This window comes from Homo sapiens, chromosome 20, assembly GCF_000001405.40.
Source record: "Homo sapiens chromosome 20, GRCh38.p14 Primary Assembly".
NCBI classification, from domain to species: domain Eukaryota; kingdom Metazoa; phylum Chordata; class Mammalia; order Primates; family Hominidae; genus Homo; species Homo sapiens.
This window is the reverse complement of record NC_000020.11, coordinates 31,336,761-31,358,852: the sequence shown is the minus strand read 5'-3', so window position 1 is coordinate 31,358,852 and position 22,092 is coordinate 31,336,761. Positions and strand designations below refer to the sequence as shown.

General features: G+C 39.5%; 2 pseudogenes; one reads left to right on the top strand and one right to left on the bottom strand.

Moving 5' to 3' along the window:
- On the bottom strand, positions 1,875-1,983 carry RNA5SP480 (RNA, 5S ribosomal pseudogene 480; annotated as a pseudogene).
- On the top strand, positions 13,800-17,679 carry HAUS6P2 (HAUS augmin like complex subunit 6 pseudogene 2; annotated as a pseudogene).
- The last annotated feature ends 4,413 nt before the right edge of the window (positions 17,680-22,092 follow it).

Sequence of the window (22,092 nt, the reverse complement as noted above, 5' to 3'; positions counted from 1 at the left end):
AATTTACATCCTCACTAGCAGTATGTGAGTGTTCCCTTTTCACCACATCCTCACCAACACTTGCTATCCTTTTTTTTTTTACAGTAGTCATTCTGAATGGAGTGAGGTGATATCTCGTTGTAGTTTTGATCTACATTACCCTTATGCTTAGTGATGTTGAGCATTTTTTTTTCATATATCTGTTGGCCATTTGTATGTCTTATTTTGAGAGATATCTATTCAGGTTTTTTGCCCATTTTAAAATTGGGTTTTTTTTGGTTGTTGTTGAGTTCCTTGCATGTTTTGAATGTTAGTCCCTTTTCAGATGTGTGGTTTATAAATACATTCTCCATTCTGTAGGTTGTCTCTTTGCTCTGTTAGTTGTTTTCTTTGCTACGCAGAAGCTTTTTGGTTTAATGTAATCCCATTTGTCTATATGTGATTAGACAAGCTTTTGTTGCCTGTGCTTTTGAGGTTTTATACAAAAAATCCTTGCCTAGACCAATATTGTGGAGCTTTTCCCCCATGTTTCTTCCCATAGTTTTGGGTCTTACATTTAAGCCTTTAATCCATTTTGAGTTAATACTTGTATATGATTAGAAAAAAGAGTCTGGTTTCATCCTTCTGCATGTGGATATCCAGTTTTCCCAGCACCACTTATTGAAGAGGCTATACTTTCCCCATTGTGTGTACCTGGCACCTTAGTTTAAAATCAGTTAGCTGTAGTTGTGTGAATTTACTTCTAGGTTTTCTATTTTGTTCTGCTGGTCTATGTGTCTGTTTTGATGCCAATACTATGTTGTTTTGGTTGCTATAACTTTGTAGTATGTTTTGAAGTCAGGTAGTGTGATGTGATCAGCTTTGTTCTTTTTGCTCAAGATTGCTTTTGCTATTCAAGGTCTTTCATGGTTCCATATTAATTTTAGGAACATTTAGCTTAAAGATGTAACATCTCCAAGGTGGATGGAAATCTGCTTGCTTTTATTTTTGAGAAATGCTTGTAAAAGGCATTTGGTCATTTTACAGAAAACGTATAGGTAAGTCATAGAATTTACCAAGTCTCATGGGATAGAGTACAGGCAACTGACAATTTTTACTTTTAGAACCACCATCACTTAGATATCCAACAACAAAATCTGGCTATTGATTGCTAAATGAATCTGAATAGTTTTTCTAATGCCACATACTTTAATGAAAAAAGAAAAATAAGTTGGGAAATGCATCTGATATCATTGTCCATTTCATCATGCCTTGATGTTGTATTATTAATCTTAATAGTTCCCAAAGGATTTTTGGGAACCCTTTAGGAACTGGATTCAGTGCTTAACTAACAATGGCTGAAATTTGCTACCCTGTGTAACTTCAGTGATACCACATATCATGCTAAATGACCAAAGGATATAGAAGAATCAGCTTGAATGCTGAAAAAAAGGATAGAAGAAGAACAGCTGAAGGAAATCTGGATAAGGTTATGTAAAGTATACATCTAGACACTATATGTAACAAATCTATGCACGAGTTTTAAAAATTGAGTTTAAACGGAAGTAGAACATACTTCCAGAAATGTACACTAATTATTGGTATACAGCTGGATGAATCATCTTAGAAAAAACTACTCAGGTAACAAGGATTACAAAACCTCTTCATGACCTCTTCCAGTCATTAATGTTCCTCTTCCCCTCCGAGGTAATGCTGTCCTGACTTCTAATACCATGTAGTAGACTGACTGTAAAAAAGGCTCCAATTTTTTATCCCTTCTGGGATCCATGCCCTTTGCTGTGTAACTTTATGATGCCCTCTTATTACAGTCAGGGGGTCTACCTCACCATTTTGTTCTTGGTTCATCCACGTGACTTGCTTGTTAGTAAATGTGATTTCTTAGGTAGGGAAAAGTTTATTTACTAATGTGTTAGTTTCTCCCATCCAAGTCCCAACAAGGCCTGACCCTGCTTAGCTTCTGAGATCAGACAAGATTGTTGCATTTAGGGTGGTATGTCTGTAGACTAATGTGTTAGTTTCTAAATATGAGTTCTTTGCCATTCTTTTAGTGTTAATTTCTAATTTTATTTATTATGTAGGGGAATACAATCTGTATGCTGTTCTTTTTTTTTGGCATGCTATTCTTTAATGAAGTTTTCTTTGTGGTCTAAAATGTGGGACATTTTTGCAAATTTTTATATGTGCTCAAAAGAATGCTTACTCTCTGTTGAGCACAGAAATGTCCAGATATAAATATATATTCAATACATTCAAACTTATTGAATATATTGGCTAGACCTTCAATGTGTTGCTCTCAATCAAGTGTTAACATTTGAGTTGAAGATCTCTAAATACTATTGTTGACTTATCCATGAAGTGCTGTCATTTGTTGTTTTGTAAATTTGAAAGCTGAAATTATAGTTGCTAATATGTTCTTGTAGCTCAATAATAACAAATGATAATAATAATAATCTTTTAGAGACAAGGTCTCATTCTGTTGCTCAGGCTGGAGTGTAGTGGTAGCATGATCATGGCTCACTCTCTGTAGCCCTGACCTCCTGAGCTCTTGCCTCAGCTTCCCAAGTAGCTAGGACTATAGGTATGCACCACCATGGCCAGCTAATTAAAACTTTTTTTGTAGAGATGCAGGTCTCACTATGTTGCCCAGGCTGGCCTCCAACTCCAGGCTTCATGTCATCCTCCCGTCTGGGCTTCCCAAAGTGCTGGGATTACAGGAGTGAGTCACTGTGCTCAACCTCAAATATTTCTTTATCAGTATGTAAACCATCTCTTTGTCATTTATTATACATTTTGCTGTGAATTCTTCTCTGTCACATATTAAGATTGCCACTCCAGTTTTCTTTCTTTTTTTTTTTTGAGACAGGGTCTCACTCTGTTGCCCAGGCTGGAGGGCAGTGGTACAATTTGTTTCTCTTTTTATTTGAGTTTTTCCTCCAGTCTTTATGTGGCAAGCATTCTGAGTCCTCCTACGCTTGATAATATTTTTTATTATGCTCCTATATTTAAGTAGCAGTGTAGATGGATATAAAGTTCTAGGTTAAAAGTTCATTTTCTTCACTATTTAAAGTATTTAGTTTTTCTTTCACACCAGTGTTACAGTTGAGAAGTTGCCACAACCCAAATTTTTCTAGGTTTGCATGAAAAAGTTAATTTGAGTTTTCTAAAGCTTTTACTTTTTTGTCCTAGAAGCCAAGTGATTTCATCCAGTCATGTATGACCCAAGGAGACTTAGAAAAGGTGCTCATTAAAAACAAAATGATACACTTACCCGACCTAGCAAATTGACTTCTAGGAACTTGTTTAGACATTTTTACCCAAGTATATAAAAATATATGTGCAAGGCCAGGCACGGTGGCTCATGCCTGTAATCCCAGCACTTTGGAAGCCCGAGGTGGGCGGATCACAAGGTCAGGAGATCAAGACCATTCTGGCTAACACGGTGAAACCCCGTCTCTACTAAAAATACAAAAAATTAGCTGGGCGTGGTGGTAGGCACCTGTAGTCCCAGCTATTCGGGAGGCTGAGGCAGGAGAATGGTGTGAACCCAGGAGGCAGGGATTGCAGTGAGCCAAGATCACGCCACTGCACTCCAGCCTGGGCGACAGAGTGAGACTCCATCTCAAAAAAAAAAAAAAGTGTGTGTGTGTGTATATATATATATATATATATATATATATATATATATATGCAAAAGGTCAGTAGCAGTTTTGTTTGTTTTATCAAAGATCTGGAAATATTTCATTTTACACTCAATAGAGATTAGATGTATATAAATTAGGATCTATCCATATGATGGAATAACATGTAATTTCCAGAAGCAATGAGGCAAAATTTTATGTGCTGACAAGGAAGATGTCTAGAATATATTGCTGAATTTTAAAAATTTTAGAGCAAAGTATAGTTACCTTTTTTGGTTAAAAAAGAAGTACAGGTACATATATATTTATGTGGATTTATATATGCATAGAAAAAAGGTTTTAAGTGTCAGACAGAAGAGGAGAATGGTACCTTGTCTAAAAATTATTCAGGCCTTCATAAGCAGTAGTTTCAAAACTCTGGCCATTTGTTTGTGAAATCTTACTGGAAATCATTAACAAAAATCACAGACTTTTATGGTTGGAAAGGAGCAGAAGGGCCTGTACTTTCGTCCACATAGCTGGTCTGCAGATACTTTTATCCCAGAATAGGAGTACAGGAACTTTATATGAAGTGATAATAGAACTTAATGTCCAAGAAAGGCCTCAGGACTCATGATTTCGTAGAGATTAGAAAGACAGCTGAAGTCAGGCAGCCCCTCAGTTGGGTCACTGGGACATTGGAGCAAAGCACCATGTGCAATTTGGGATGCTGAGGTTATAGCTGAGTATGAAAAGGACTTCTCATAAGACACCGTGCCCTATTTTATGGTTCCAGGGATCCTGGCCAGATACACATTCCCAATATGGGGCCTTAGGTTTGTCCTAGGAGGAAAGCACTCTAATAAATTCAAGCCTAATCAACCATCCCCAAAAACCCTATCTCAATGAAGGAAAAGATATTAAGCCTTCCATGGACACTTCCCCATGCTAGCTCTTTTTCCCTTCTTCCTTGGTTCTGTTTACCTGGGAACATCTGAACAGGACCAAAAATACAGTAAGAGCCAGTAGCAAGAATTTTATGGTCTTTGAGAAGGATGTGGCAGATCCAGGAGTTGAGAACATCCTGCAATGGGGCTCTGGACTCAGGTTTTTATTTGCTTCCATGGGGCGGGGTCCAGGGCATGAGTCATAGGCAAAGAGAAGTATAAAGGGACATTGGTCCTTTGCCCAGTAGCATTAACTGATTATTCCCCACTCAGAGCTCTGTTCTAGATACACTGAGGGGAGGCAGAAGAATGGAAGAAAAGGTAAAACTGTCATGGAAGTATATACAGAGAGGATCCACAAACCAGGAAGTCTACCTTCCTATGGGAGTGTTGGGATCTCTGCTCAATATCCCCTCCCATTCTATCCTAACACTCGTCACATAGCATCAGAACCAACTGAAAACTCCTTGTTTCCAGAGCCAGGGGCTTAAACTTAGGGGGCTCAGAAAAGAATATTTTAGTATTCTTTTAATAATATTAATATTTTAATATTCTTTTCTTATACACATATTTTTAACACATTAAAAAATCTTAAATCTGTTAAACACATTGTAGTAAACCCATTTTTAGACAATGTATAACATCAGGCTCTTTGAAATAAAATAGGTCAGACTTCCTTATTTTACAGATGGGAGCACTGAGGTAAAGAGAGGAAGAGTGACTAGCAGGCAGGAGAGTTGGGGAAAGGATGCTTATAACAGGGCCTGAAATGCCCCCTTCCCAGGGTAGGTGAAGGGTCATGGGAATGCTACTTCTGACATGGGCATCCTGGAAAGAGTACAGTCACTTCTGTGAATGCCCAACACACAGAGCAAACTTCGCATCCAGCTGTCACCCAGGATCCACCTCAGTCTTGTTTCTCTTAGGGTTCATTTTCACTCTCTATCAGCCCCTGTGGAAAGGAGTCATATAACCATATACTTACATGCCTGTTTGGCCACAGAAGAACTAATAAAGCTCGAGAAGAGGGGCTTAATGTTATTTTTCTGAATAAATTTCCAGGTGGTTTATTTCCTTTGGTCACTTTTGTTTGTGATTGACTTCTGGCCTTAATGGACTATGGTCAGAAACAAGAGACTGATAATCTTTGGTTTTGGGAATTTAGTAATGATTTCTTTTTGCCAAAGAACTTGGTTCTTTCATATGATATGGGACAACGTCCTCTATTAAATTAAGCTTTTCACTCCCTTAATCAATGTAAATATTCTTACTTATTTTCTATTTACTTGAAGGGTAAAATACTCAGAGAACTATATTAAAATCCCCATGTGATTAAGCATTTAAACAAGTTCTTATATTTTTAGTAGTTTTTACATTACATACTTATTTTGTTGCTTTATTTTATGGTGCATACAATTCTATGTTGCCAAGGCTGGTCTTGAACTCCTGGCCTCAAGCAATCCTCCTGCCTTGACCTCCTAAAGTGTTGGAATTACAGGCATGAGCCATTGTGGTTGGCCACTGTACTGTGTTTCTTCCAGAATTGCAGATGAAAAGTCTGATGTTAGTTTGATTCTCTTTCCTTTGTTGGTATCTTGTATCTTTTGCCTAGAAGCTTCTGACACTGCCTTTTTATCCTGGAAATATAATTTAAAAAAAAATTTGTTTCTAGATAATGTGCTTTTTCTCATGGATATCCCTGGGACTTGGTGAATCCTCTCAATCTAAAAACTCATGTTTTCCTTCAGTTCTGAGAAATTTGCTTCTATTATGTTTCTAATTGTAACTTCTACTTTTTTCTTTCTAATTCTTGAGCTTATTATTTATAGAGGTGGCATGAAAGTGTTCTTTAAAATACTTTTCCCTCTTTGAGAGTGTAGCAGGTTTTTTCATGAAAGCATGAGGAATGTGCAGGAAGCATTACCCCAGCTAACAATTTTCTTTTTTTTTTTTTCAATTTTTTTTTTAAATTATACTTTAAGTTTTAGGGTACATGTGCACATTGTGCAGGTTAGTTACATATGTATACATGTGCCATGCTGGTGCGCTGCACCCACCAACTCGTCATCTAGCATTAGGTATAGCTCCCAATGCTATCCCTCCCCCCTCCCCCCACCCCACCACAGTCCTCAGAGTGTTCCCCTTCCTGTGTCCATGTGATCTCATTGTCCCACCTATGAGTGAGAATATGTGGTGTTTGGTTTTTTGTTCTTGCGATAGTTTACTGAGAATGATGATTTCCAATTTCATCCGTGTCCCTACAAAGGACATAAACTCATCATTTTTTATGGCTGCATAGTATTCCATGGTGTATATGTGCCACATTTTCTTAATCCAGTCTATCATTGTTGGACATTTGGGTTGGTTCCAAGTCTTTGCTATTGTGAATAATGCCGCAAATAAACAATTTTCATTTCATTGTATTTTGTTTTCCATTGTGAAATATCTCTTCCATTTCATCTTTTAGACCACCAATTTGTTACTTCTGGACCATCCTTTATTTCTTTTAATACAATTTTAAACTGACCAAAATGCTTTAAGTTATGTGCTTTTTTATGCTTTATTTCTATTTCCTGGAAAGTCTGTGTTATGTTAAAAATTTAAATTTTCATCTGATTCTTCTATTAGTTTCTCTTGAAAGAGGATGTAGTAGAAATAAACTGCTTTTGTCTGTACTTCATGACCCTGTGGGGAACTGCCTCTTGGTGAGGCTGCCAACCACAGGATCATAACTCCATAACCATTGGTGAGGACACATGGGCCATGGTGGGTGACTTAATCCTGGAGTTAGGATCTTGAGCAGAATAAACTGGGGGTCACATGCCTTTACCCTAGAAGCAAAATTGTGGCCTTCCTGTCTTCAGAGAAGATGTGCTCTTTCACTTTGTCTCATATGACAAGGAATTACCTGACGATAAGTCAGTGCAGATTTTGGGCATCTAAACAGGTGAATGACCACAACTGCCCCTTCATTAATAAGTGACAGAGCCAGCATTCAGATCCAAGTCTGTCTGACATCAGAGTTTTTGGTCTTAACCATTATGATATACTTTCTGCAAAACACTCATCTTCTTTAAAAGAGACTATCCTCTCTTTGTCCAAGGCAATATTTCCCCTGAGCCTCTTGACACCATTATCTGTTGCTTCCTCTGGGTCTTTGTTCCATTAATCACTTCTCATCCCCTTGTATTTTCAACTTCTTGCTCTCTATTGGATTCCTTTCCCCTCTAGACATAATTCCCTTCTCTGCTTATTGTCCTGGTCTGGCCTCTGAAGAGTCAAGAGTAGCTGTCATTTAACCATTGTATAACATTGTGTCAATTTTTTTTCTTGGATGAGCCACCATTCTGGAAAAGAAAGATAAAAATATCTACCTTATTGTGAGGATTCATCACATTAAAGGCTCAATATATGACCAAAGATACTATTGTTTTGTTTGTTAGATTATGAAGGCAAAGATGAGTTCCCAAGCATAAGTTCCTAAGCAAAAGGGTATTGATGTTGAGTCCACCTCTGTCTTGTGTGCAGATGCTAAAGATTACTCCCCCATAGCCCAATTCCTCTATCAAAGTTATGGGAGTGAACAGCCAGGGAGCACCTCCTCCTTTAGTCTTACCATGCTGAGGCTGCTGATACCTGGGGCATGACAAACATTTAATTATCTATTGCTGTATTATAATCAACCCCAATATCTTAGTGGCTTAAAATGATAATATAAATCCATTATCTCTAACAGTTTCTGTGAGTCTGGAATTCAGGAGTGGCTTGGCAGGGTACTTTCGGCTGTGGGTCTCTTATGAGGTTGCAGTTAGATGTTAGTCCTCTGAAGGCTCAACTAGAGCTGCAGGTTCTCTTCCTCATGGTTGACGAGTTGGTGTTGGTTCTTGGTAGAAGATCTCACAGTTCCTGTCCACAGGAAAATCCAGAAAAAGTGACTTTCAGGGAGTGAAAATCTCAAGAACCAAGACCATGAGGTGGAAATGACCTCAGTGAGTTTGCGGAACAGAAACATGGCTACTCTCTTTAAACAGGTCTATCTCCCTTCTTCATGAATGAATTCCCATTGCCTTCAGGGAAAGGGTTTCATTCATACCTCAGCTCCTTCCTCAGTGCCTAACACACAGCTTTGTCATGGTGCCACATGTTCCCTTAGATTAAAATTCTTCTTCAGGCTCATCTTGTATATTTCTTGCCCAAGTGCTAGAGTCAGTCATTTCTCCAAGGAAGCCTGTTTCTTTTACTAGAGAATGCTATTAGAAACCAAGTTCTGGACACTAGATATTCCTATTGCTACAGGGGTGTCATTGCTTCTAGACTCTCTAAGCTGACAGGACAAAGAAATATACATGTGTATGTTAACTCACATCCCCAGGGAAAGTAACTTTACTAACTAGTATATGATGCTTATGTGCAGTCCTTTTTGCCTTTAGTCTTAGAGACCCTGTTCATTTCCCAAGTTAGTCAGGTCAGCTCTTACCCTCCCAACTCCTTTCAGTGTGATTACTTCTCACATTTGTAACCCAGTAAGAGTCTTTTGTCATGGTCTGCCTTCTATCCTGGGACTCCCTGACCTCCTAAACAGTTTTTAAAATGTGCATAACTACTTTGCATACTTTGGGCTATAAAGTTCTATGGGTTTTCATAATGCATAATGTCATGTATTCACCATGACAGTGTCATACAATATGGTTTTACCATCCCCTAAATTTCCTTCATCTCACCCTCCTTCCTCCCCCCAAGTTCCTGGAAACCCCTGGTCTTTTTACTGCTCTATAGCCTTTGCCTTTTCCAAATCACATATAATTATGTAGCCTTTTCATACTAACTTTCACTTGGATAAGAGCTAGAAGAATTCCTTGGAATACCAGGCAGAGCCTCTTGTTCTCTTCCCTTACTATCCCCCAACGAAACAGAGTCTCTCTCTCTGTGGTGAACTGCCTGGAGCTGGGGAAGGGGTGACACAGACACTCCTGTGATTACCACTACTGGGACTATGCTGGGTCAGACGTGAAGCCGGCACAGCACTGGGTCTCACTCAAGGCCTGTGGTGCCCATGGCCTTGCTACTGCTGACGTTTACTTAAGGCCCAAGGGCTTTTCTGTCAGCAAATGGCAAATCCAGCCAGGCTTGTGTCCTTTCCTTCAGGGCAGTGAGCTCCCCTCTGCCCCAGGGCAGGTTCAGAAATGCCACTTGGGAACCAGGGCATGGAGTTGGGAATCTTCTTGGTGCTGTGCTCTACTGCAGCTGAGCTGGCACCCAAGCCACAAGACAAACTCCTTCCCACTCTTCCCTCCTTTCCTCACGCAGAAGGAGGGTCTTCCCATGGCCAACACTGTCCCAGGGCCATGGCAAGTAGTGCCTGGCTACTGCTGATGTTCACGCAAAGCGCAAGTGCTCTTCAGTCAGCTTGTGGTGAATGCTGCCAGGCCTGGATCTCTCCCTTCAGGGCAGTGAGCTTCCCTCTGGCCCAAGGTGGGACTAGAAATGCTGCCCAGAATCCAAGGCCTGGAATCAGGGGCCCCAGGAGCCCGCTTGGTACTCCACCCCACTGTGGCTGAGCTGGTGCCCAAGCTGAAAGACAAAGTCCCCTTTACTCTTCCCTCTCTTTTCCCTCAAGCAGAAGGAGTCCCTCCCCATGGCCACCATGGCTGGAATATGCTGGGTCATACCTGAAGCCAGTACAGCCCTGGGTCTCATGCAAGGCCTGCGGCGAGTACTTCCTGGGTACCCGTGATGTTTATTCAAGGCCCAAGGGCTCTTTATTTGGCAGGTAATTAATCTTGTCAGGACTGACAAAGACTTGTCAGGACTTTCCCTTTAAGGCAGTGGATTCTCTTCTGGCCCAAAGTGTGTTTAGAAATGTCGTCCAGGAGCTAGGTCCTAGAATGGGGGCCTGGGAACTTTGCTTGGTGCTCTGTTCTAATGTGGTTGAGCTTGTATCCAAGTTACAAGACAAAGTCCCCTTTACTCTCCCCTCTTCTTGCCTCATGCAGAAAGAAGTCTCTCTCAGAGCTGCACTGCCTGGGGTTGGAAGAGTGATGTGAGCACTCCCTTGGCTACCTCAGCTGGTGTCTCCCTAGGTCGCATGCCTCCCAAGTCCACTGGCTCTGAGCCCAGCACAGCACCAGGACCTAGCCAGGAATTGCAGTCCTTGTGGTCTAGACTGCCTTTCAAGCTTATTTAGGACACCAGAGTGCTTTAGCCTGTGGTGGTGGGGCTAGGTGGAACTCAGGTTCTGACTGTTGGGATGGGTGATTTGCCTCTGGCTAGGGGTGGTCCAAATGCTCCCTCCATGGGTGCCATCTGAATCCCACTTCATGTCGCTTTCTGCTGCACTGAGTTCCAATGCAAAGTCCCACAATCACTGCACCCCCTTTCCCCCAAGCACACTCTCTGCACCATGCAGCTGCTACCAAGGGATGGGAGAGGAGTGGTGTCAGTAATTCAAGGCTGTTTTTCCTACCCTCTTCAGTGCCTCTTTCCTTGATATGATGTTAAAACCAGGTACTGTGATCACTCACTTGATTTTTGGTTCTTATGAAAGTAGTTTCTTGCATGGTTAGTTGTTCAATTTGGTGTTCCTGTGAGTGGGCTGGGTTGTGGGGGGAACAATTGTTGGAGGGTTCTATTCACCCATATTGCTCCACCTCCTCTCATTGTTAATTAGTGTAGATTTAATCTGCTTCTGGGCAAATGAGTGAGGTTGTGCCTTGACTGTTTGGGAACAGGATTGGTGTACAAAAGATCCCAGAGACAAAAACCTTTAACTTGGAGTATTGCTTGTCTTCAGTGTTGGAGAACTGCTGCTCCCTGGAGGTCAAGTTTTCTTTCTTTCTTTTTTTTTTTTTTTTTTTTGAGATGGAGTTTTGCTCTTGTCACCTGGGCTATGGAGTGCAATGCCACGATCTTGGCTCACTGCAAGCTCCACCTCCCCGGTTCAAGTGATTCTCCTGCCTCAGCCCCCCAAATAGCTGGAATTAGAGGTGCCCGCCACCACGTCTGGCTAATTTTTGTATTTTTAGTAGAGACAAGGTTCGTCATGTTGGTCAGGCTGGTTTCGAACTCCTGACCTCAGGTGATCCACCTGCCTTGGCCTCTCAAAGTGCTGGGATTACAGGCATGAGCCACTGTGCCCGGCGAGTTCAAGTTTTAATTCACAGGATGCTCAAAGCAGCTGGGTAAGTGTTTTCTTTTCTTAATAGAATTTCATTTTTCATCCTTTTCTTTGGAAGTTAAGGGGTTGCTATGCAATTTACAGATGGACCAAAAATCTATAGTTTCTTCTGTTTTTTGATTGTGAGACTTTTTTTTTTTTTTTTGTGGGAGACCAGATTTTTTTTATTACTCAAATCAGTCTCCCCAGCATTTGGGGATCAGAATTTTTAAGGACAACTTGGTGGGTGGGGGGAAACCAGTGAGTCAGGAGTGCTGATTGGTCGTCAGGTCAGAGATGAAATCACAGGGAGTGGAAGATGTCTTCTTGTGCTGATTCAGTTCCTGGGCCCGGGAGGTGTAGGGGGGTAGGGGGTGGGGCAGGGTGGGCACAATTGTGAGACTTTTTCCTATGTGTGAGCCCATGCAAATTGAGAAACAGGGAGTGAGAATCCAAGAGGTTTCTCTAATCCTACCAACATGTCCATTTTTCTGATGCTTTCTGATGCTGCCTAAATAGCTGACAGTTGCAGAAGCCGTGTGACCCTTGAATGTTGGTGTGGATGTGATATGACTGAGGAGAGAAAGAGGTTTCCTTTAAAAGGTATCTCTACATTAGATAGGTGAGCCTGTCTATGGAGGTTATTGGAAAGGGTGTAAAGGTTTTATTAACTTTCAGGGAAAACAATTTTAAATCAAACCCAAATTCCAAGTGCCTTAAATTTGTTAGCACTTCAATAAAAAAACTCCAGCCTGGGAGAAAGTGGCAAGTGCTTGAGGAGTTGAGCCATCAATTAAACCTTGTAAGGTGTGCAAATACATTAAGAAAATTAAAGAAATACATCTTTGGAGGACTGAATCTTATAATAGGTTTGTACTTGAAAAGATTATTTGCAAATGAAGAAATTGAAGTACTGAATTGTTTAAAACCTTTTGGTCAAAAGGAATATTATACTCAGGAATAACATAAAATATATAAATAAAAAATGTATAAAGAACTCTGTCAAAATCACAAAGATCTTAAAAATAATTTTAATGGTGTTCTTGTTTTCTGATATAAATACTTTCACTTAAAAATGTTTTTGGATGAGAAAAGGCAAAATCTAATTTTAGTTAAATGACCTTAATGTTCCTTCCACGTACAATATGGGGAATAAAAGATATGCAAATTAACTTTAGGCTTAATGAGTAATCATAAAAAGGATTATAAAATCCTTCCACAAAGCTTTTAATATTATTTAGTTGAGGGAGAGATTTTATAGTTATATCCAGTTCCCATTAATACTCCCAAGCAGGGGAAACATTTTTATTTTTTGATAAAGTTTGGGTTAAAAGAAGTCTATATTTGTTCTCTCTGAATTTGCCTCAGTGGGAAATAAAAATACAAACATGAGATTTTTAGTCTATTTAAGACTTTTAATCTATTTATTATTTTACAAAACAGTTAAATACCTACATTCCTTACACTTAATTTGTAAATCAGATGTTTTTATTAATTATAATATTTAAATATATAAATAAAAACATAGGTCTTCAATTAAATTGAGCCACAATTTAAACATGTAGTGCATATAAATTTGGTTCTTATAAACTTCAGACAGTATTCTATTTATGTAGAGTTTATTCATCAGTTAAACCAGCTGGGCCTAGTTTTATAATGTTCTTGTTTCCCTGTAAAATTGTTGTTATAAGCTGTGATTTCATTATCCTTTAAAATTAACTTATGTTTTCTAAAATCCATCATTTAGGAGCTTTAGAACAATTTAATATTATGGCACTTGTAAATCTTTATTTATCTTGACACTTTTAAATAAAATTTGGAGAGATGCAGAAAGTGAAGTCTATCGTTACCATATTATCTTCATTTTAAAAAAAAATCTATTTATTCTCATGGATATAAATTAATTTGTTCTTCAGATTACCCAAATGAAGGTAGTTTATACCAACGGATTATATACATTGTCCAAAAATGTGCTTGACAAGGTGCTTATGTTTTAAACATTAGAACTTTTAAGCTTAAATTACATTGTCCTTTAATTACTGTTTAGTTAAGAACATATTGTAGGCTTCGAGTAGGCAGCTGCGGCCACATTCCCATGACAGGCTCCATTTTCTGGAGACTGTACAGCCCTTTGAGGTGAAATGGCTCCAGCGAGAGAGATGCAGGCAGTGGCAAAGAAGGGACCTCTGAGACCTCAGGCTGCCCATAGGGAGGGATCCTGAGGACCCAAGAGTCGCTAGGGCTTGTGCTTTTTTTCTTTGCAGTCACCGTGCCTATCATGAGGATGACCTTGGCCTGGATCACCTCTTTCCAGAACAAGCATCTCTGAATGTATCGGCAGGTGCTCAGCTTTGAGCCAGGCCCGGGTTTGACCATGGCCTGCAAAGGGTGTCAAATAAGCACCTTGGAGTGAACATGTTTGATAAGCTGAACCGTGATGGCTTTCATATAGTTTCTTATTTTTTGTTTCAAATGCTGGACCAGTCTCTCACCAAAGAAGTTTTTAAATTTTGTTGGCCACCATTTGACCAAGAAAGTGATACGATATTCAGGAAACATTGCTGTGAATGGTTAACAAGGATTTCTGCTGAATGTGGAAGCTTTCCTCAAATTGTTGTTCACTATTTATTTCTCCTAGCGGTTCTGTTTACTCATCTGATGTAACATCTTGCGAGATTTGTTGTAATAAAATATATGAAAACCAATTCTAAAAATTCTTTATGTTTTGCAGACATTTAATGTGAAATCACAAAGTTTGCACAAGCGCAATGCCAGATGCCATTTAGCACGTAACAAATGTTTACAAATTTTGCAAAGAGCAGATTGTATTACCCCAAAATCTCAGGAAAATGTACAATTATTAGTTAAGTATGTCTGAAATTTGAGATCTAGATGTATAGAACTGCAAAACCAAATTTAAAAAAATGGAACCCTATGGGTGACCAAAGTAGTATAGAAGAAAAAACTCAAAAGGTTGGGCCTTTGTGAACATCAGTGAATGAAACACTCATGTTTCTGGAAAAAGAGAAGTTGTTAGTTCAGTCCTTAGTCTAACCGATATGCTTTAGATGGAACTAATGCTATTAGTTGACTCTTGACAAAATTGAGAGACAGATGTGTCAGTTGCACATAGGAAATGTTTATGAGTCTGGAAAATGGAAACTCTTAAGTTATTCTGTTATATAATGAAGCCTTGAAAGTAATGAAATAGGAAAGTCAGGCTGACCAAGCACGATTGACAATAGACCTTCACTACCTGGAAAAAGATACCAAATTTTAGAGGGAAAGATAATCAGATCTGAAGCATATAAGCTATAGAATAAAAAGATCTCACAACTATAAGACATTCTATTGTTGAAAAGCAAGGGGAATGGCATAGGAAGTGGAAAGAATTTCTTGGTCTGTCTTCCTTCACTCTAATTAAAAGTTGAACTCCAGTTGTGGATCTTTTTTTTTTTTTGAGACGGAGTCTCGCTCTGTCGCCCAGGCTGGAGTGCAGTGGCGCGATCTCGGCTCACTGCAAGCTCCGCCTCCCGGGTTCACGCCATTCTCCTGCCTCAGCCTCCCGAGTAGCTGGGACTACAGGCGCCCGCTACCACGCCCGGCTAATTTTTTGTATTTTTAGTAGAGACGGGGTTTCACCGTGTTAGCCAGGATGGTCTCGATCTCCTGACCTCGTGATCCGCCCGCCTCGGCCTCCCAAAGTGCTGGGATTACAGGCGTGAGCCACCGCGCCCGGCCCAGTTGTGGATCTTTTACCACCTATGTCTCCCCTTTCATTTGGTCTTCCCTCAGAAGTGCACGCAAAGAGTATTCTTTTTCAGTATCCTGCTTCACTGATATTGCCAGAATCATTACCTGTGTTGCTTAATCAAAGAGAATTTATCGTTGTCTGGTTTCTGTTAGAAACCACTGTATCAGATTTTGGCCTTAGGTACACCTGAGCAACATCACCAAGAAAATGGTTGCAGAGGAGACAATGATACCTTGGGAGCTGTACATGATCTAGCCAACAGCCCTGCCTCTTTCTTGTTGCAGTCAGCTTCATCATCAGATAGAAACAATGCTACACCACTTGAAAAGGACAGGAAGATGAGAACTCCCAAAGAGAAAAATAAAACAATTTCTAAGAAAATACCAGATTTTGAAGTGGAAGATTCTCCATTATCAGATGTCGCAAAGAACAGAGAGTAGTGCATTTGGAGGGTCTCTGCCAGCTAAAAAAAAGTGGTCAGTTCCAAAAAAAAGCAAGATCATCTGCTAGAAGGGGTTGTTGGAGCAGTTTTATTTGGTTCACCACAGCTCTGTGAGAGAAAATAAGTAAATTTAGGGGAACTAATTGACTCTCTAGGTTCTAACCTCTTCTGAACAAGGAACCAGATTTCCCATACCCATAAAACTTGACAATGGAAATTAGGAGCTCATGGAGAAAAACTATTGAAATGGAAGAAAACAGAACTACAGAACCAATTCAAACGGATACTGAGCACAGAGAAGTATTGCTGGGATCATTACCTGATTTGTGTAATCAAAGAGGATTTAGCATAGTCGGTTTTCTCTTAAACCACTGTATGAGATTTCGGCCAGTCTCATTTGACTGAAATGAGACTGCAAGTGTGTGCCTCAGAAATACATGGTGATCAATCATATGGGTGAACCACCAATACAAAATCAGTCTGATTTGTTGAGTAAGAAAATAATTTGCGCCCAGCAAGGTGGCTCACGCCTGTAATCCCAGCACTCTGGGAGGCCGAGGCGGGCGGATCACGAGGTCAGGAGATAGAGACCATCCTGGCTAACACGGTCAAACCCTGTCTCTACTAAAAATACAAAAAATTAGCAGGGCATGGTGGTGGGCGCCTGTTGAGGCAGGAGAATGGCATGAACCCAGGAGGCGGAGCTTGCCGTAAGCCAAGATCATGCCACTGCACTCCAGCCTGGGTGACAGAGCCAGACTGTGTCTCAAAAAAAAAAAAATAATAATAATTTGCAAGCAAGATTTGGAATGTACAGCTTTACCAACCAAGCTTTCAGAAACTAGCCAAGAAGACATTCTCCCCTGCCATCAGCAATGGGATAGATGAGCTGGGTAGCAGTAAAGAGGAGTATATGAAAATATTGGACCATTCACAGGATTCCTGTAACAAACCTTCCATGAATAACACTACATTATGGAACTCTTTTCAGATATCAAGCGGAATTAGTTCTAAGAGTTGTAAGGATATTGATTTTAGCATATTTACATTTGGCATGAAACTTTTCCGGAGGAAGGTGGTCCCCTAAGTGTTAAAAGTTCCAGTAGCTTAGAGTCCAGTTTAAACTAGAGCCAAATAGTCCTGTGGACAGTGGCATTTTTCTAGGAGATATTATGGTAGATGGACAAACTACTCCAGAATCAGACTTCAATCTATAGGCTGTTTGCAGTAGATATGAGGCTCTGAAGAAATCTTTTTCCAAGAAAAGGGAAGAATTTTACCTGTCTAATCTTGAAACACTTGAAAGACACAAACCAGAATTGAGCCCTACTCCCCAAAATGTGCAAACAGATGATATGCTTAACTATTTGGACACTCATGATGTGCACATTGAATATGCAAAACCACATTTACACATGTCCCTTGGTGAAAGAAAAGTCTCTTTCACCACTAATTAAGTTTCCTCCAGTGGAACAAAGATTGACCACAATACCATGTAGTTTTGGAGAACTTCTACCTAATTCAAACGAAGAAGACATCTTGAATAAGAGCCTTGATGCAACAGAATCTTTGTCTGACTTGACAAGATGAAGCAATACGGAGTTAATATAACTATGATGTACTTAGACTGAAGCTATGCAACAGAATAGAAACTGATTTATAAGTTAAATACATGTTGGAAGTGTAACATTATTCTTCAAGGTCTAAAAAATTCTAAATGCCTTTTAGCCTCCTGTAGTATTTTTAGGTAAGGAAAGTATGTTGAATTATTTCTCTTTGTAGGGATATAGGGTTGAAATGTGAAGTATTTGGAAAGCAAATGTCAAGCAATGGGAAGCCATTTTGATTTCTTGAGTACCCTTGCAAACATTAAGTGACAAAAGTAGCTTAACTAATTTATTATAATTTCAGTTAGTTAACATAAGGATGTGTAGTTTTTGTTGTACCTTTACTAAGTGGTTAATATAATAGCCATTGAAGTTACTGATCTTTCATTTTAAAGAAATATACAACTTTTATTGTTTTTTGTTTCTGTTTTTTTTTGAGACAGAGTCTCGCCCTGTTGCCCAGGCTGGAGTGCGGTGGTGCGATCTCAGCTCACTGCAGCCTCTGCCTCCGGGGTTCAAGTGATGCTTATGCCTCAGCCACCTGAGTAGCTGGGACTACAGGCGCACATCACCATGCTCATCCAATTTTTGTATTTTCAGTAGAGATGGGGTTTTACCATGTTGGCCAGGCTGGTCTCGAACTCCTGGTCTCAAGTGATCCACCCGCCTTGGACTCCCAAAGTGCTGGAGTTACAGGCATGACCCACTGCACCTGACCTTTTATTCTTTCTTTATGGGACATTCTGTATTAACCAGAAAAAGTGAGAAAGGCCTTGGGATGTGTAGTCACACATGACATCACACACGTTGTGTGTGATGACAAATTTTAAGACTGGGAAAGCTCTAAACGGGCTTAATGATTATTCAAATAGATTGATTTTGAGAAATGATGTTTGGTGGAGTAAAGTGCATGTGATGATAAGTGAAGACTGGGGCAGAATGATTTTAAAGAAGAAAAAAGATGGAACTCTCATCTTTTCCTTTTAAGAAGGTGCTTAAAAGGAACCGTCAAACTACAAATCCATTCAGTGGGTGGTGTAACGTTTATATTGAGTCTAATTTAGTCTAATATTTAGTCTCATATTTAAACTAAATATAAATCCTAGTTTTACATTTTAACAAAAATATAAATCAAAAATTTCATTAGTTTGTTTAAAAATATATTGTATATATACACATATGTACATATCAAGATCTATTGAAGCTAATGAAAACAATAAATTTGAACTAAATAGAGGAGAAAAGATTGATAGATCAGAGAAAAGAAAGTTAAACTTAAGATATATACTATGTTCTCAATATGCCGTAGCAAATACTTCTTTGCTTTCTGTATACTTTGTACAGGTAGTCAACATTTTACCCTTGAGAAATTGTGTTTTTTCATATCTCAAAAGAGCTTTGACTCTCATTATGCACTTAACCTTAAGTGCATTTTATAATGTAGACAATTATAAAAAGAATAACAATTCCCTTGCCTCTGGAGTAGCTAAAATTTCTAATGATCCTTCTTTTAACATCTACAGTGTTGATTATAAGGTACCAAAACTTCAGTTATTCACCCAGGCTAGATGGTGACCTTCTCTTGATCTCATGTACCTATGCTCCTGTGTTCAACTGGTAGTGCTCACAGATATTCCCCTTGTCCAATATCAGGACTCAAATTTAGACCTTCAGAGAGTGACAGGCATCTCTTGCATGCAGACTAGCGTTGGCCTTCACAAGTAGCTGCTCTTTTGCACCAAATATTTGCTGTCTTACTTTGCTTATGTAATCTCTGGCACGACACACATACAGAAAGAAAGACAGCATTTTAGTAATAATTAGCCTCGATTAGTATGCTTTAGAGTCTTTCAGAATTACTCTACAATATTGTAAAAGAGATTTCATTTTATGGTGTTCAGGTAAAGAAAGTAGCTTATACTTCCATTTGGAGGCCTATTGTAACTATTTAGATAGATTTTTATATGTGTGAAATGTGGTCTAGATAAATATATTTCAATGATTCTGTGCATGTTGTTAGGAAGGGCAGAACCATGCCCACGTGTAAATATGTATGCAATGACTGTCTGCAGAAGGACTTGTATATACCTTGCCTCTTGATGGTATTTGGGCCACACTGTACAAAACAATGCCTTCACAGCCTTCACTGTGAAATATTAATGGTTAAAGCTCTGCTACCTCTTCAGGGACCAATCATGGGAGAAGAAGAATTGTGTTAGGTAATCTTGAGCTAGATTATTGCAAGGCACTCAGGAAGTGTGCCAATGCTTCTTCACAAGAAGCCCTCTAATTGATCCAGAATGGCATGTCGTTGAATAAGCTTGGCAATGGATTTCATATCAAGTTTAGTCAGTGGATATTTGCTCAAACCTCTCTGGAAAGGGCCCCACCAAGAGCCAACTTCAAACATGGTGTCCAGCCCTGAGGTATCTGCCTCCCACTGTAAGGAAATGTGTTCCTCACATATTTAACAACATCTTGTTTTTTTTTATTTTATTATTATTATACTTTAAGTTTTAGGGTACATGTGCACAATGTGCAGGTTAATTACATATGTATACATGTGCCATGCTGGTGTGCTGAACCCATTAACTCGTCATTTAGCATTAGGTATATCTCCTAAAGCTATCCCTCCCCCCTCCCCCCACCCCACAACAGTCCCCAGAGTGTGATGTTCCCCTTCCTGTGTCCATGTGTTCTCATTGTTCAATTCCCACCTATGAGTGAGAATATGCGGTGTTTGGTTTTTTGTTCTTGCGATAGTTTACTGAGAATGATGATTTCCAATTTCATCCATGTCCCTACAAAGGACATGAACTCATCATTTTTTATGGCTGCATAGTATTCCATGGTGTATATGTGCCACATTTTCTTAAACCAGTCTATCATTGTTGGACATTTGGGTTGGTTCCAAGTCTTTGCTATTGTGAATAGTGCCGCAATAAACATACATGTGCATGTGTCTTTATAGCAGCATGATTTAAGTCCTTTGGGTATATACCCAGTAATGGGATGGCCGGGTCAAATGGTATTTCTAGTTCTAGATCCCTGAGGAATCGCCACACTGACTTCCACAATGGTTGAACTAGTTTACAGTCCCACCAACAGTGTAAAAGTGTTCCTATTTGTCCACATCCTCTCCAGCACCTGTTGTTTCCTGACTTTTTAATGATTGCCATTCTAACTGGTGTGAGATGGTATCTTATTGTGGTTTTGATTTGCTTTTCTCTGATGGCCAGTGATGGTGAGCATGTTTTCATGTGTTTTTTGGCTGCATAAATGTCTTCTTTTGAGAAGTGTCTGTTCATGTCCTTCACCCACTTTTTGATGGGGTTGTTCGTTTTTTCCTTGTAAATTTGTTTGTGTTCATTGTAGATTCTGGATATTAGCCCTTTGTCAGATAAGTAGGTTGTGAAAATTTTCTCCCATTTTGTAGGTTGCCTGTTCACTCTGATGGTAGTTTCTTTTGCTGTGCAGAAGCTCTTTAGTTTAATTAGATCCCATTTGTCAATTTTGTCTTTTGTTGCCATTGCTTTTGGTGTTTTAGTCATGAAGTCCTTGCCCATGCCTATGTCCTGAATGGTAATTCCTAGGTTTTCTTCTAGGGTTTTTATGGTTTTAGATCTAACGTTTAAGTCTTTAATCCGTCTTGAATTAATTTTTGTATAAGGTGTAAGGAAGGGATCCAGTTTCAGCTTTCTACATATGGCTAGCCAGTTTTCCCAGCACCATTTATTAGATAGGGAATCCTTTCCCCATTGCTTGTTTTTCTCAGGTTTGTCAAAGATCAGATAGTTGTAGATACGCAGCGTTATTTCTGAGGGCTCTGTTCTGTTCCATTGATCTATATCTCTGTTTTGATACCAGTACCATGCTGTTTTGGTTACTGTAGCCTTGTAGTATAGTTTGAAGTCAGGTAGCATGATGCCTCCAGCTTTGTTCTTTTGGCTTAGGATTGACTTGGCGATGCGGGCTCTTTATTGGTTCCATATGAACTTTAAAGTAGTTTTTTCCAATTCTGTGATGAAAGTCATTGGTAGTTTGATGGGGATGGCATTGAATCTATAAATTACCTCGGACAGTATGGCCATTTTCATGATATTGATTCTTCCTACCCATGAGCATGGAATGTTCTTCCATTTATTTGTATCCTCTTTTATTTCCTTGAGCAGTGGTTTGTAGTTCTCCTTGAAGAGGTCCTTCACATCCCTTGTAAGTTGGATTCCTAGGTATTGTATTCTCTTTGAAGCAATTGTGAATGGGAGTTCACTCATGATTTGGCTCTCTGTTTGTCTGTTAATTGGTTTATAAGAATGCTTGTGATTTTTGTACATTGATTTTGTATCCTGAGACTTTGCTGAAGTTGCTTATCAGCTTAAGGAGATTTTGGGCTGAGACAATGGGGTTTTCTAGATATACAATCATGTCATCTGCAAACAGGGACAATTTGACTTCTTCTTTTCCTAATTGAATACCCTTTATTTCCTTCTTCTGCCTAATTGCCCTGGCCAGAACTTCCAACACTATGTTGAATAGGAGTGGTGAGAGAGGGCATCCCTGTCTTGTGCCAGTTTTCAAAGGGAATGCTTCCAG